The following is a 15,953-nucleotide window of genomic DNA, read 5'->3' as shown; positions in this document are numbered from 1 at the left end:
GTTGGGTAGGCTGGTCTCCAACTCCTGACCTCAAGTGATCTGCCCAACTCAGCCTCCCAAAGTGCTAGGATTACAAGCGTGAGCCACACGCCCAGCCACATTTTCTTCTTTTCCTTTTTTTTTTTTTTGAGACAGTCTCGCTCTGTTGCCCAGGCTGGAGTGGTGGCGCGATCTCAGCACACTGCAAGCTCCGCCTCCTGGGTTCATGCCATTCTCCTGCCTCAGCCTCCTAGGTAGCTGGGACTACAGGTGCCCGCCACCATGCCTGGCTAATTTTTCTATTTTTAGTAGAGACGGAGTTTCACTGTTAGCCAGGATGGTCTCGATTTCCTGACCTTGTGATCCGCCCACCTTGGCCTCCCAAAGTGCTAGGATTACAGGCATGAGCCACCGCACCCAGCCTCATTTTCTTCTTAAAAGCAGTTTTAGGCTACTATGTTAAAAGTTCTCCAAATAAAAATTCACTTATTCTTTAGGCTAAGATTTCGGTAAGGGGAAAAAAAAAAAAGCATTAAATCATGCTAATTCCAGATTCCTTATGGCCTTTAACCAGTCCTAGGAAGGAAGTTACACCTAGGAATCCTCTTCGGTGTGGACATTACCTCATCACTACTACTACTGATGGCCAACAAACCTGGTGTGAGCAGCCACCAGTGCAGGGCGTGGTGAGACAAATACCAGGTGGACTCCTCACTTCCAGCTCAGGGGGCACCAGGAGGCAGACAGGCTGCACCTGAAGCCCACGTCTAAAGTTTCCTTTCCATCAAATACATTGAAAAATGTATTTGACCAAAAGAGTTAAGACTCAAGGCTGGGTGTGGTGGCTCACACCTGTAATCCCAGCACTTTGGAAGGCTGAGATGGGCAGATCACCTGAGGTCAGGAGTTTGAGACCAGCCTGGCCAACATGGCAAAACCCCATCTCCACTAAAAATACAAAAATTAGCTGGGTGTGGTGGCACACGCCTGTAGTCCCAGCTACTTAGGAGGCTGAGGCAGGAGAATCGCTTAAACCCGGGAGGCAGAGGCTGCAGTGAGCCAAGATTGTGCCCCTGCACTCCAGCCTTGGTGACAGAGCGAGACCCTGTCCCTGTCTCAAAAAAAAAAAAAAAAAAAAAAAAAAAAAAGAAAGACTTGAGCCTCAAGAAGTATGAAGTCAAAAAACAGAAGTTGATATAACCACAATTAAAGCTGACTGCTACCTTAAGTTACCAGACATAGCTCATAAAACCAGCTGTCTCAAAAACAGTATTATCTTTATTAAAAAATGGATAGATATAGCAGCACTTACAAAACAGTTCATCAAAGGCATTGTACACTGTCAACTGATAATGTGGAGAGGGCAGCCCCCTGCCCAGCTGGCTATGGGCTCTGCACAACGCTTGCCCGCAACCACCTGCTCCACTTGGTACAACGGAGCCCAGAACACCTGCGAGGAGAGCCACGCCACCGTGGCCCTCCACAGCTTCAAGCTTTTGTTGTTGTGGGAGTCCCTTAGGTCAAGTAGCACCTTCCATAGCAGCATCGGGAGCACGCACTGGTGTCTGGAGGTGGCTGGTGTACTTGACCCACTTATTTAAAAAAAACCTATAAGCATTCAATAAAAAACACTTTGCCCTGTTTGATGCCATCCACAGAAATACTTCTGTTGTGGAAGAAACACTCTTCCATTCAGATATCTGTAAAAGCAAACGCACGCCTCCGCTGCAACAGACAGAAGAGAACGTGGAGCAGGCGCGCAACTGTCTTTGGTGGAGAAGGATGGGGTGGTCACGCCATTTCCGGCCCGCTGCTCTGCTTCTTACCGCTCTGTGGCGGGGTGAGGAGCCCACTGGGGAGAGGAGAAGCCCTATTTTGTTCAGACAACATGGCTTTCTTTGCTCGGGCTTTGTCCTGTTGGTAAGAATAAAAGGGACAACACATTAGAGTAGAACATATCCTTGGGCTTCAATTACCATAGGCTTTTTCTTTTTTAATTTTTAAATTTTTTTTTTTTCTCAAGATGGAGACTTGCTTTCTCATCCAGACTGTAGTACAGTGGTGGGATCTCGGCTTACTGCAACTTCCACTTCCAGGGTTCAACCGATTCTCCCGCCTCAGCCTCCCAAGTAGAGTAGCTGAGATTATAGGCACCCGCCACCATGTCCAGCTAATTTTTGTATTTTTCATAGAGACAGGGTTTCGCCATTTTGGCCTGGCTAGTCTTGAACTCCTGATATCAGGCGATCTGCCCGCCTCCGCCTCCCAAAGTGCTGGGACTACAGACATGTGCCACCATGCCTGGCTAGTTTTTAAATTTTTTAGGGACAGGGTCTCCCTATGTTGTCCAGGCTAGTCTCAAACTTCTGAGCTTAAGCAGTCCTTCTGCCTTGGCCTCCAAAAGCCACTGTGTCTGGCCACTATGTCTTTTTCTACGGAGGTGAGTGAAAGAAAAAAAAATATCAAAGAGCACTTTAAAACTCTATAGTCTATATGATAGTGAGATACAGCATCAATTTGCCAGGATTTTTCTTTTTCAATTAATTAAAATTGGAGTTTTTCAAGGATATTTGGGGCCTGCCTGAAGAAAAGTGAACAGGTTATTTAGGCAGTTTTTTTTTTTTTGAGACATAGTTTCGCTCTGTTGCCCAGGCTGGAGTGCAGTGGCGTGATCTCAACGCACTGCAACCTCCGCCTCCCGGGTTCAGATGATTCTCCTGCCTTAGCCTCTCGAGTAGCTGGGACTACAGGTGCCCACCACCATAGCCGGCTAATTTTTTTATTTTTAGTAGAGACAAGGTTTCACCATGTTGGCCAGGCTGGTCTTGAACTCCTGGCCTCAAGTGATCGGCCCACCTCGGCCTCCCAAAGTGCTGGGTTTACAGGCCTGAACCACCGCGGCTGGCCTATTTAGGCAGTTTTAAGAATTTGGCCAAGAAGGACTGAAAGAAGGAGCAGCACTGACCAGCAAATCCAAGCTGTCTCTGTGGGTCTGTATGTTGTGTGCATCTTCATCAGCGACGCCCCTGAAGTGCTTCAGTTTTGAGCTCCCCGTCTCCCTTATAACCATGGCAAATGGAACCATCCACTTGACACAGTTCTCTATGTCGCACCACTGATACCCTGCAGTGAAGACATCGTGGGCTTAATCTGAGGCTGACAACTGGATGTAAGCTTAGTACACCTTGTTTGTGCATGCACTGGAAAGCCAACTTACCTGAAACCTTTTGCATCAATTCAGATGACGAGAAATGATACAAGGCCGAAGCAGCAAGTATACCATAAGGAAATTCAAGGCAGTCAACATCCAGGACACAGAGATCCAACAGCTACGGAGAAGAAAAGAACGCTGAGATGGATGCCACCACACGCCTATTCTAGAGTTCCTCACTCCAGCTGCAGGGAAGGTGGCCCCACGGACGTGATGGAGCCACTTACCTCTGCAATCTGTATAAAGATTTGCTGGGGATACTGCGGCAGTAGCACTTCATGTAAGTCATTTAGATATGCAACCTGCATGTATACATTCAGCCAGGACACAATAGTCAGGGGACTTAAACGCCACTTAAGGGCCTAAAGGAAAACAGAGAGAAAAGAGACCGATGATTGAGAAAAGAAGTTCAAAATGCAGCCATGTTCCATGCCACAATGTGTCCAGCTGGAGAACACCTCCCAGAGGCACTCACACTTCAGGTGGAAAAGATCTGCCGTACGCATTTAAAAAATGGCCGGAAAATTCACTGGAACCCACCTTCATAATCATTAATTCCATGGTGAGAATTTCATCTCCTGAACAAGCTCCATCTGTCACATACGCAAACTGGTGCAACTTTGGAGGATAGATTTCCTGAAAGGAAATAAAAGATGGCACTAGCACCAAAGCCAATCTCTAACAGTCTCAATTTATAATGCATCCAAAATGACTTCTCAGTACCCTGGCATGGAAAGAGAGAGGGCGCACTGATGGAATTAACACAGAAGCCACACCAATGGTTGTAAAAAAAAAAAAAAAAAAAAAAAAGAACACAACTCCCACCCACCATTAAATAAATGGATGGAACTTTGACTCATTGTGGGTACTCTTGAAATATCCCCTTTTCAGTACCTTTAACACATTTGAAAGTTGGGCCCATATACCCTTTGATAATCATACACAAATTTTTAATCTTTTCTTTTTTCTTTTAGACAGAATTTCCCTCTGTTGCCCAGGCTGGAGTGCAGTGGTAGGATCTCGACTCACTGCAACCTCGGCCACCTGGGCTCCAGCAATTCTCTTGCCTCAGCCTCCCGAATAGCTGGGATTACAGGCACGTGCCACCACGCCTGGCTAATTTTTTGTATTTTTAGTACAAATGGTATTTCACCATGTCTCAAACTACTGGCCTCAAGTGACCCAGCTGCCTTGGCCTCCCAAAGTGCTGGGATTATAGGCTTGAGCCACCAACCCGGGCCCAAAATTATTATCTTAGTTCAAAGTTCATTTTTTTTTTTGGCTCAATGTAACTACATGAACCTAGGTCTTCCATACCCTCACTACTTTTCTCTTCCTGGTCACTTTCCAGCCTTTTTTTCTTTTTGGCATGTGTCTTAACTTTACAGGGTAGCAAATCAGAAAAATTTAGGATGAGTGCTATAGGCTAAGCGCCAACCTCTTCCCCCAATCTCAGTGGAGCTCGAGAAATAACACACATTATAGAACAAATATTTGAAAATTATTTACCTCAAGTTTGGCTGCAATAAATAAAGATGAAATCCCAATAAGCTGTAAAAGAGTTTTTACAACATTTTCTTGTGTCGCCATATACCGGTCAAAGAAATCTTGTGCCAAGTAAAAGGTCTCCCTGTGAAGTTTATAGACTTCACACACCTGAAAACATATTTAGTAAGTTTTAGCACAAGTAAGTTTTACTTGAGGGAGGGGAAAAAAAAAAAACTTGTAATGACTTTGGTGAAGGAAAATATAAAATGCAAAGTTCCTGAACTCAACAATTGATAGTTTTTTGTTTTTTTGTTTTTTTTTTGAGGTGCCTTATTCTGTCACCCAGTCTGGAAAGTAGTGTTGTGATCTTGGTTCACTGCAACCTCCAACTTCCAGGCTCAAGCGATTCTCTTGCTTCAGCCTCCCGAGTAGCTGGAATTACCAGCACCCGCCACCATGCCCAGCTAATTTTTGTATTTTTAGTAGAAATGGTATTTCACCACGTTGGCCAGGCTGGTTTTGAACTCCCGGCCTCAAGTGATCCACCTGCTTCGGCCTCCCAAAGTGCTGGGATTATAGGGATGAGCCACTGTGCCCAGCCTAACAACTGATAGGTTTTAAATGAGGGGCCCTTCTGGCCTGTCCCACCCTCACCTGCCTAGGATGTGAATCATCCCCTTGCCCGCACATCCCCGTGGAGTAGGCCACCTGCCTGTTAGTCACTCACTAGCACACAGGTCATCAGATGGACTGTCACAGCACAGCAGTGCTGGTGTTCAAGCAAGCAGCCCTTATTTGACTGAATAATGGCCCCACAGGGCAAGAGTAGTGATGCTGGCTATTTGGAAATGCCAAAGAGAAGCCGTGAAGTGCTTTCTTTAAGTGAAAACATGAAAGTAGAGGATTAAAAACATGGCATATCTAGAGCTCAGTACTATCTGTGGCTTCAGGCATCTCCTGCGGGTCTTGGGATGTACCCCCGAGGATGAGGGGTACTTCTGTAGTTACACACTCAACTTCTACATGTTTTCATGAAGCAGGTCTGCCTGAGATGTCCTTCCACTTCAGAAGAAAAGCCCACTTCTCACCCATTCAAGTCTTACAAGGTTGTCTAGGAAGCTTCCCTTAATCAAGAAACTATAAGCTACCGCAGTTCATCCCAGTAAGATATACAACCAATAAAATCTCATCTTTTATGTTTAACCATTATCTATCAAATGTTGTTATACTTGTTCTTTTGATTAACTGTTAAAGAGAAATAAAATAGTGTGGACCAAGAAAAGATTTGAGTTGGGTGCTGTAGCTCACACCTGCAATCCCAGCACTTTGGGAGGCCAAGGCATGGGGATCCCTTGATCCCAGGAGTTGGAGACCAGCCGGGGCAACATAGCAAGACCCCAACTCAACAAAAAATAAAAAATCGGCAGGGAGTAGTGGCTCATGCCTGTAGTCCCAAGGACTGCGGAGGCTGAGGTGGGAGGACTGCTTGAGCCCAGGAATTGGAGCCTGCAGTGAGCCGTGACTGCACCACTACACTCCAGCTTGGGTGACAGAGCAACTCTGTCTCAAAACACAGAAGCCACTCCAATGGTCCAAATATCTTTAAAAATATGCTTAAAAAAAAAATTGAGACAGAGTCTCATGGTCACCTAGGCTGGAGTGCAGTGGCGCTATCACAGCTCACTGCAAGCTCCAACTCCCAGGCTCAAGCAATCCTCCCACTTCAGCCTCCCCAGTAGTTGTGACTACAAGCCTGAGCCACTATACCCTGACAATTTTTTATTTTTTGTTGAAATGGGGTCTCAAGGGCCAGGCGCAGTGGCTCACGCCTGTAATCCCAGCACTTTGGGAGGCCAAGGCGGGCGGATCACCTGAGGTCGGGACTTCAAGACCAGCCTGACCAACATGGAGGAAACCCCGTCTCTACTAAAAATACAAAATTAGCCGGGCGTGGTGGCGTATGCCTGTAATCCCAGCTACTCGGGAGCCTGAGGCAAGAAAATCGCTTGAACCCGGGAGGCAGAGGTTGTGGTGAGCCAAGATCACACCATTGCATGCCAGCCTGGGCAACAAGAGCGAAACTCCGTCTCAAAAAAAAAAAAAAAAGACATGGGGTCTCGCTATGTTGCCCAGGCTAGTCTCTAACTCCTGGGCTCAAGGGATCCTTCTGCCTTGGCCTTCCAAAGTGCTGGGATTACAGACATGAGCCACTGTGCCCAGCCAGGATTTGAACAATATATTTTATTAGAATAAATGGGAATGGTGGAAAAGGGAATGGATTCCAAGAAGTTAAAAAGGAGCAATGTCAGACCTGTTTAAGATAAGCTTGTTCATATATGTTTACAATTTATGACAGTAGCTATAAAACAGGTGATATATGCATCCCAGTGAATACATTTAAAAGCAATTTAGCTGGGCATGGTGGCTCACACCTGTAATCCCAGCATTCTGGGAGGCCGAGGTGGGTGGATCACAAGGTCAGGAGTTCAAGACCAGCCTGGCCAACATGGTGAAACCCCGTTTCTTCTAAAAATACAAAAATTAGGCAGGGTGCGGTGGCTCACGCCTGTAATCTCAGCACTTTGGGAGGCCAAGGCGGGCAAACCACGAGGTCAGGAGATCGAGACCATCCTGGCTAACACGGTGAAACCCCATTTCTACTAAAAATACAAAAAATTAGCCAGACGTGGTGGCGGGCGCCTGTAGTCCCAGCTACTCGGGAGGCTGAGGCAGGAGAATGGCATGAACCCGGGAGGAGGAGCTTGCAGTAAGCTGAGATCGCACCACTGCACTCTAGCCTGGGTGACAGAGCAAGACTCCGTCTCAAAAAAAAAAAAAAAAAATACTGGGCGTGATGGCGTGCGCCTGTAATCCCAGCTACTCAGGAGGCTGAGGCCAGGAAAGTCACTTGAACCCGTGAGGCAGAGGTTGCAGTGAGCTGAGATTGTGCCACTGCACTCCAGCCTGGGTGACAAAGCAAGACTCCATCTCAAAAAAAAAAAAAAAAAAAAAGCAATTTAATGAACATAATGAACAAAGCTCAAATGTTAACAGTTACAATTTACTGGAAAATACAATCTTAACAATTATTTAAACTTGGATGGAAAAAATTAGATGCCAATTTTAAAACATCTGAAGGATAAAAAGATTTCAGAAATTCTTGCTAAGAATACAAGCAAAACAGAAAGACCACCACAGTAAAAATATACCATATAGCTTCAGAGATGGAGAACATGTCGAGGGAATAAACCACACAGAGGTCCTAATACACAAAAATGCTGGAAATGCTCAGTGCTTTCATGAAGCGAACAGGAAGACTCAAGCTCACCTCCATTAACCAATCCAGAAGAATTGCTCGCATTTTTGGCTGCAGAAGAGGGTGTTGCTCAAGAAAGTGCTGATCCCTTAAGTATGTCTTTTCCTTGTTTAACATGATTTTCCAGACTTCCTCTCTATTTGCCCAGCTACAACAAAACACACAACAAAAATGAGGCCCACAAAGGGGTAAGAATGCGTCCATGCTATGAGGGATAAAGGGGAGCATGGAGTAAGAGACCTGGAAGCCATGTGGCAGAGTCGGCACTGACCTCAGTACAGGCAGCGGGGAGCCTCTGGATGGTGCAATAATCCGAGGCTTGCACGTTGAGTTTGGGTAAACCCGGTCATCATCTTCTTTGTCAGGTGTGGGGATCAGGGAGCAGGGGTCTGCACAGACTGCATTATTGTCCCAAGGCTGTAAATGAAAAATACACAGGAGAGGTGAGATAAGATGCAAACAGCTCTTACATTACCCAAAAACATTACAAATTCACCTGCAACTCAGTAAGATACTAGGCATGACTTCTGAAAGTGCTTCCAAAAAGATACATTATGATATTTTTTGTCACAACTCAAAGATTTTTTTAATGAGTACAATGCATCTACTAAAATTTCTTAAAAGTAAAACAGAACTGTCAATAAAAATATTTACATAAGCACTTCACATTCATTAGTATAAAAGATCAAAAATGGGGGGGAGGGGGGAGGGATAGCATTAGGAGATATACCTAAGGTTAAATGATGAGTTAATGGGTGCAGCACACCAACATGGCACATGTATACATATGTAACTAACCTGCACGTTGTGCACATGTACCCTAAAACTTAAAAGTATAATAAAAAAAAGATCAAAAATGTAAATTTGGCTGCCATATGTATTAAAGTCCCCTCAGTTTAAAACAAAAACTCATCAAATGTGACATTTTCTTTTTGTTGCAGGACTAGCCAAATATGTTAAATAATAAAGGACTTTTTCTTTTCCTTAACTCGAAACAAACAGAATGAACATCCACCTAGTTAAAACCAAATCAAGTGATGGTCACAGGTCATACTATGAAGTCTACAGGAAGCTAGCCTAGACACTCCTTAAGACCTCTGAATCTCCTGAGTCTTGCAGGGTAATTCAAATACCTGATAAAATAAGGAACTATTAGAAACCAAAGCACTATGCTTTTCTTTTAAAGGTTTCAGATATGTATTCAATTTTCAATATCTGAAAAACACTAAAGTCCATTTAGAATATTTTCATTTTTAAAGCTATTCCTACTCTAAGAAGTCTGTTTGATTTTTAAAGTTATAAAATAGTAACTTTGCTAAAGATATTAGGCAGGTAACAATCCTACTAGCATGGAAGCCATATGAAAGTCTGAGACTTGGCTTTTTTTTTTTTTTTTTTGAGAGAGGGTCTCCCTCTGTTCCCCAGGCTGGAGTGCAGTGGTGTAATCTCAGCTCACTACAACCTCTGCCTCCTGGGGTCAAGCGATCCTCCTGCCTCAGCCTCCTGAGCAGCTAGGACTACAGGCATGCACGAGCACACCCAGCTAATTTTTGTATTTTTTTGTAGAGATGGGGTTTTGCCATGTTGTCCAGGCTGGTCTCGAACTCCTGGACTCAAGCCATCCTCCTGCCTTGTCTTCCAAAAGTGCTGGGATTACAAGCCTGAGCCACCGCACCTGGCATTTTTTTTTTTTTTTAAAGCAGAGACCACCAGCCTGGCCAACCTGGTGAAACCCCGTCTCTACTAAAAATACAAAAATTAGCCGGGTGTGGTAGCGGGCGCCTGTAATCCCAACTACTCGGGAGGCTGAAGCAGGAGAATCACTTGAACCTGGGAGGCGGAGGTTGCAGGGAGCCGAGCTCGCGCCATTGCTCTCCAGCCTGGGTGACGGAGCAAGACTCTGTCCCCCCCCCAAAAAAAAAAAAAAAAAAGCAGAGACCATTAACATTGACTAAAGAACAAAATAGACAACTGGGGTCACTATAAATGAAAGTGGAAACTCGGGCTGTAAGTGCTACCTCGAAGACACAGCACATGGTGGCGACCACAACACATTGGCCGCCTTCAGAGGAAGCCCAAGCACTTTCAGTTAGAAGAGCAAAGCCAGATAAAGCTCTTCCCCACCCAATGTACAAAGAATTGGGCATGCAAATTATCCATGACAGCTCCTGCCAACAGCTGTGCGAGCAAGGCTGCTTCCTTTCAGTTCTAGTACCATGTGCGGGTGGCATTTCCTTAACTCAAAAAGGGTCACATTACAACCGCTGTAAGTTGTTCTTCATTCAGGAAGAATGAATTCTAGTCTTGAAGGCATAATGCTGGGTGCCACCCTCTACAGCCAGATGGCTGGCACATCTGAGAGCAGGCCTTTGGACATAGATGAGTCCAGCAGCAGTTCCCAAACTAGGTGAACCATCAGCAGACAAATGGTTTCCAAAGTTGGCCTTTTTAGGGACCAGTGGATGAGGTAGAATAATTAAGTCTATGTCCTTGAGTGTACACCAAGTTTCAAAGCAAGATCTGTCTGACTTTATTTAGGAAAGAATGAGATAACAATAAGAGACCCACGGGATTCCTAACCACTCCAACTCCTCATACCACTTTTTTCCTTACATAGGATTATTTTCTGAAAAGTAACAGTCCAGGATTCCACTTCAATAGAAAGATTGAGTCTTGTGCAAAAAAATTAAACAACAAAATGGACGTGTTAAGTAGATCTTAGATAAAAGGGTATTCTTTTCATTAAGAACAGCCTAAGATGAAAATTAAAAAGCTTCCATGTGGTCTCGATGAAGCAGTTACACAAGAGTTTGGCACAATGGCTCCAAGTAGCTCAAGACTGTCGTACTGGGGGGAATTATGATAACTCCAGAGAAAAATTCTGTATGTGAGCAGGGAAAAAGGTTCTGTTGTACCCCCAAGTTCTAGTTTCATGAAGCTCCACAAAGAAATAACAAAGATACTGCTCCATACATAGACAGCTAATGTTTAAGCTATCTACTCTACAAAACGTATAGAAATCTGTCGCCATTAATCTCTGGATAACCACGAAAATGCCTTCTAGTGGGAAATGGTATGGCTATTCCGGCAGCACAGCTATCCACACTGTGGCCAGGGGACAGAGCCACAATCCGTCCCAGGAGGCACCCTCGTCACTGCTCAGGCTATCCTTGAGAACAGACATGCTTCTAAAACTCCAAGAATGCAACAGGGACGGCCCTGCTTCATCTTCAGCTGGAAGTTTCTTTTCTATTCAAAACACAGCTGGGAAAATAAACAGTCCTGAATTTCACAAAGTCAGAATTCATTTTATAATACCTAAAAAATCAACTTGCTTGATTTGAATGTACTTTAAGGGAAGAAAAAAAAAACTGGGGATATGCCGTCTCATTTCCGTCTCTGAAATGATTTCTTTGAATGAAAAAGGAAATCAGCAACCCTTTCTTCAATAGTCAGTGGACCCTCCTCAGAAATGCTTATTTCGGGGGACCTTACATGCAGTGACAACTGCTATTTAGAACACGGCGCACTGCGTTGAAACCCTTCACGCTTCCAGATGAACTACCCTGGCTGCTGCTCTGCAAAGTGAGGGGCTTCTCTGCTAACCTAGCTGGGATCCCTGCACTCAGGTCGAACACTGTTTCTGTTCAGCGTTTATCTGTGATAGAGTCAGAAGGCCTGACCAGCTAGTTTAGAGATAGGCTGCTTCCCCCACTGGAGCCATAACTACAGTCTCCAGCCATTTCTGAAAGTAAAGAGATAGTACAAGCTTTTTCTGCAAGAAACTTCTGATATTATAATGATTATCACACTGCATGCAGGAAATTTGGCAGGAACTCCTTAAGGAGAGAAAAGAAAAGCAGTCAAAAAAAAATGTATTGAGACACCACCTATCATTACACTGAATGTTCCACTGATACTCTTGCTGAGGTCAGGCTGAGCTGGGGATCAATGCAGGTAATTGCTGGAGGGGCTATAAGAACTTCCAGGGCCAGAAAGAGGAGAAGAATTTGAAATCTGACCTACAGAAGACGGAGGAGGTCCTTAAACACCATGACAAGAAAAATAGGTGTAGATAGGGGGAAAGTTGTTGCTTATAAACACCCAGGAACCCTCCCCCAGTTCACCAGCTTTTACAGACAAGGCCGAGAGCCCAACTTTGCCCCTGGATGGCACAGGACTCTGGGTTACTTTCTTCCTCTAACTGAGTCTCAGTTTCCTCCTGGGCAGAAGGGGAGGACTGAATACTGTGATGTCCATTCTGGTTCTTCCAGGCTAGGCACATATCTGTAATCTCAGACGGTGCCAGTCAGGAACACCAAGCTTCCTGGAATCCCAGGACTGGCAGAGGCCAGTGCCCACTGACAGGTACAGTGCTGGGCCATATGGGCTGTGGCTGCATTAGAGAAGTTCACTCTCACCAGAGTGTCTCCAGCAAGAGACAAGACAGCATGAAACCCCATGTGACCCAGGGGGAGAAGGACCTCCACAGAGGCCCAACCCCGGGCGGACCTACCTGGCTCCCACACTGGTCCCTCGCCGTCCTGTCGATTTTGGCCATTTCTTCATCTGGATCCTGCAAAAACTAACATGAAGCCACCCCCATGACCCCAAGGAAACACACCAAACAAGACAAAAACAGAGAGAAGAAGAGAAAGCTGATCAGGTTATGAGCTCCGTTCCTGCCCAAGGGACCCCCGCCCCCGTAGGCAGAGCCAAGTCGGGTACCCAGGTGAGATGGGGGGGATGCTCCCCAACCTGTCTCTTTTGTACTCACAACGGTCACGTTTGCCTTCCTCTTCCTGGAGCGAGCCGAGAACTCCGCGCCGCCGTCCTCCTTCATGGTGTCCCGCTCCTTCGCATCCCTGTGGACCCGGGTGGCACCGGGCCGGGTGAGCACCCGCGGCCGCCCCTCCCCCACGCCACCCGTCCCGTCCCGTCCCGTCCCGTCCGGCCCCGCGGCGCGGGCACTCACCGCTCCCTGCGCTCCCTCGGCATGATGGGGCTGCTCCGGCCTGAGGCCTGCGGGGCGGCGCGGGGTGAGGCGGCGGCGGGGTCAGGCCGCGGGCCCAGTACCCCTTCCCCCTTTGCGCGCGGGCGGCCGGGCGAGCCAGGAAGATGGCCGATGGCGGGGTGGCCTGTCACCCGCGACCCGGGCACCCGCCGACCCCCGACCCGGGGTCCCGCCGCCCCCGCCGCCCTCACCGGCCCGTCGCCTCCCGGGGCCCGGGCTGCCTCAGTGTCCCCTCCACCCCACCCCGCCGCGCTCTCAGCACCCTCCCGGGCGCCCCGCGACGCCGCCCGGGGACCCGCGACCCGGCCGCACCCCGCCCCCACCCAGCTCCCCGGCGCGGTCTGGGCCCCAGGAGTCCCTGTCCGCAGCCCGCGGCAGTAGACTCACCAGGGTCTTGTCCGCGGCGGACGGCGCGCTCCAGTCCCGGCAGGCGGCGGCGGCGACGGCAGTGGCGGCGGCGGCGCCGGGAGTCGGCGGGCCGAGCGCGCGGCGGTGGCGGGATCCGCGCCTGCCCCCTACACCGCGCTGGCGGCCGCGCCGGCTGCTCCTGCGCCCGGCTCAGAGCGGGACATTTAAAATCCCTGCGCGCGGAACCGGCCCCGGCCCGCCCTCGCACCGCCCCGCCGCGGCTCCCAGCCCCTCAGCGGCCGCGCGGGACCCAGAGCCCGTCCCGCCCCGTCCCTCGCCCCGCCCCCGGACCCGCCCCTCCACGGCGCCGGCCCGCGAGGCGCAGGGACGGGGAATCAGGGGCGGGGCCGGCGGACAGGGCGGGGCCAAGTGACAGGGCCTGCGCGCCGAGGGCCGGGCGCGGGGCGCGGGGCGCGGGACGCGGGGCGGGGCGGCGGGCGGGACGCGGGAGAAGTCTGGCGCGCGGCGGCGAGGGGCGGGCCGCGGGCGCCGGGGGCGGGGCCGAGCGGCGCTGGAGCGGCAAAAAGCCGCGTGGCTGGCGCGGGTGGAATGTAAACACGGCGGGCGGCGCGGGTTCGGGCCCCGGCAGGGCTGAGCCAAGGGGATGTGTGGGGGGCCTACCCGAGGAGCACCGCCCGCCGTTCCTCCGCGCGCGCTGTCCCGCCAGGCACGCCCTCCCCGCCCCCGAGACGCCGAGTTCCGGGCCCTGAGTCCTGGGCGGGGACATCCCCAAGGTCACCGCGCCTGTGCCTTGGCCTAGAACCAAGGCTTCAGGCCGCGGGGTCTGGGGCTCCCTGGGGGCCGGCTGCTATTCCTGGCCGCCTGTCCATTCATCCGTCAGTGCATTGGGTCGTTCATTCATTCATTCAAGGAATCTGTGAGTTCCTTCCATGCGCCCCTTCCATATGCGCCCCTCCCCCGCAAGCCCTTCCTGGCTCTCTGAAGACCTTTCTGACTCTGGGATTCCCTTGCACCCCATCTCTCACTTAAAGCCTTCCAGTTGAGGCCGGGCGCGGTGGCTCACGCCTTTAATCCCAGCATTGTGGGAGGCCGAGACGGCTGATCCCTTGGGGTGTTCGAGACCAGCCTGGGTAACAGTGAGACCCCCATTTCTACAGAAAAAGAAACAAAAAGCCTTCCAGTTGTTTCGCATAAGGGTCAAATCCACACTCCGTGTCCTAGGCTACAGGCTCCACAGGACCTGACCCTGATCCCCCACCCTCAGACCTCAGGCCTCCTCTCCACAGCTCCTCTGTCCTTTCTCCCTCAAGACTTGTATTTTTTATTGTGGCGGGGGGTGGGGGGTGGCAGGTAGGGATAGGGTCTTGCTATGTTGCTCAGGCTGGTCTCAAACCCATGAGCTCAAGCGATCCTCCCGCCTTGGCCTCCCAAAGTGCTGGGAGCCCAGCCCCTACACAGTCTTGGTGCCTCTCTGTTTCTTGTCTCTCTCCCCACCTTGCCCATCTTGCTCACTGCTGTATCTGTCAGTTCTTGGCATAGTGCCTGGACCAAGGGAGACACTTAAATTGTTTCTGAATGAACATTTGAAAGACAGGCACTGGCCAAGCCCTTGCAGGGCTTACCGGCTAATGAGAGAGACAGGTAAGGAACAGTCATCACCTCAGAGTACCCTCTGTACTCAGCTTCAGGAAGATGTGCGTAAAAGAAGGCTCTGGAATGCTCCCAGGGCCCTTCTTAAGCTAAAGTCTCAGTCCTGTCCCTCACCCTCCCCTAGTGACCGTTTTCTTGAAGTTAGAGCCAGGGTCTTATCAAAGAGGCTCACAAATTCATGATTCCCCCAGGTGCTCTGAGGCCAAGGCTGCTGGGCTACTTGCTCAGCAGGGACCCAGGCACCTGAACCCCCCATCCTGTGCCCGTTAGGAATCACCAGTAACAGGTATCATAAACAGTGTTTCCAAAATGGCAGCACTGGGCTAAGTCCTTCAAAGTATCATCTCAATTAAACTTCACAATAATCCTATTCATGTTGATGCCACAATTATCCTGTTTCACAGATGGCAACTATCTACTCCCAAGGATCATTGTGAAGATTGAGATAATGTAGCTGACTCCTGTACAGTACCTGGCACACAGTAAATGCTCACTAAATGAGTTATTATAATGATGGTAGACAAGACAGTTTTCCTTAGTCATTACAGCAATGTATACACCCACCAGCAAAGATAGAGCCCAAATCCTCCACATCCTAGCTGACATGTTCATCAAGAATAGAATGGATACATAAATGTTGTTATATTAATTCAATGGAATACCACACAGCAATAAAAAGGACAAACCAAGGAATCATGCAGCAACATGAGAATTTCAGAGACAACATGTTGAGCCCAAGAAGCCAGACACACTTATTTGAAGTTTCCATTTATTTGAAGTTTAAGAAAAGACAGCAGTCACCGTAACAGTATTTACCCCTAGGGTGAGGAGTAATGACCGGGAGGAGACCAGGGGAAACTTCTAGGGGCTAGACATGTATGCTTTGATCTGAGTGGTGGTTTCATGACTGTATACATACATAAAAG

The 15,953-nt window shown here is 48.8% G+C and overlaps 1 protein-coding gene across 8 annotated transcripts, besides 2 other annotated features; it reads right to left on the bottom strand.

Annotated features, from left to right (window-relative positions):
* Positions 1-1,235: 1,235 nt before the first annotated feature.
* CCNE1 (cyclin E1) lies at positions 1,236-13,557 on the bottom strand. 8 transcript variants are annotated; one of them, NM_001238.4, is made up of 12 exons: positions 13,396-13,557; positions 12,970-13,016; positions 12,772-12,859; positions 12,511-12,579; positions 8,266-8,411; positions 8,007-8,142; positions 4,700-4,846; positions 3,731-3,826; positions 3,418-3,552; positions 3,197-3,308; positions 2,945-3,102; positions 1,236-1,893 (listed from the first exon to the last, which is right to left on the bottom strand). In NM_001238.4, the coding sequence occupies exons 2-12, from the start codon at positions 12,990-12,992 to the stop codon at positions 1,771-1,773; spliced, it is 1,233 nt and encodes a 410-aa protein (NP_001229.1). In that variant the 5' UTR covers positions 12,993-13,016; positions 13,396-13,557; the 3' UTR covers positions 1,236-1,770. The 8 variants fall into 8 exon arrangements, with proteins under 8 accessions (NP_001229.1, NP_001427234.1, NP_001309188.1 ...); NM_001440305.1 differs by having other exon boundaries at positions 12,511-12,570; NM_001322259.2 differs by lacking the exon at positions 3,418-3,552.
* Positions 10,151-10,310: a silencer, noted in NCBI's record as "silent region_10467". NCBI's record gives its function as "represses an Ori minimal core promoter by ATAC-STARR-seq in GM12878 lymphoblastoid cells {active_cell/tissue: GM12878}" and the evidence as "EXISTENCE:reporter gene assay evidence [ECO:0000049][PMID:35858748]".
* Positions 13,474-14,103: a silencer, noted in NCBI's record as "silent region_10466". NCBI's record gives its function as "represses an Ori minimal core promoter by ATAC-STARR-seq in GM12878 lymphoblastoid cells {active_cell/tissue: GM12878}" and the evidence as "EXISTENCE:reporter gene assay evidence [ECO:0000049][PMID:35858748]".

Source organism: Homo sapiens, chromosome 19 (assembly GCF_000001405.40).
Source record: "Homo sapiens chromosome 19, GRCh38.p14 Primary Assembly".
In the NCBI taxonomy this organism is placed as follows: Eukaryota; Metazoa; Chordata; class Mammalia; order Primates; family Hominidae; genus Homo; species Homo sapiens.
This window is presented reverse-complemented; position numbering and strand designations above follow the sequence as displayed.

Coding starts and splice junctions, on each gene's coding strand:
- CCNE1 (NM_001238.4), bottom strand. CDS start 12,992: ATGCCGAGGGAGCGCAGGGAGCG. Junction 3,309..3,417: donor TCTTTATACAGATTGCAGAG/GTAAGTGGCTCC, acceptor TCTTCTCCGTAG/CTGTTGGATCTCTGTGTCCT. Junction 3,103..3,196: donor ATTGATGCAAAAGGTTTCAG/GTAAGTTGGCTT, acceptor TCTTCACTGCAG/GGTATCAGTGGTGCGACATA.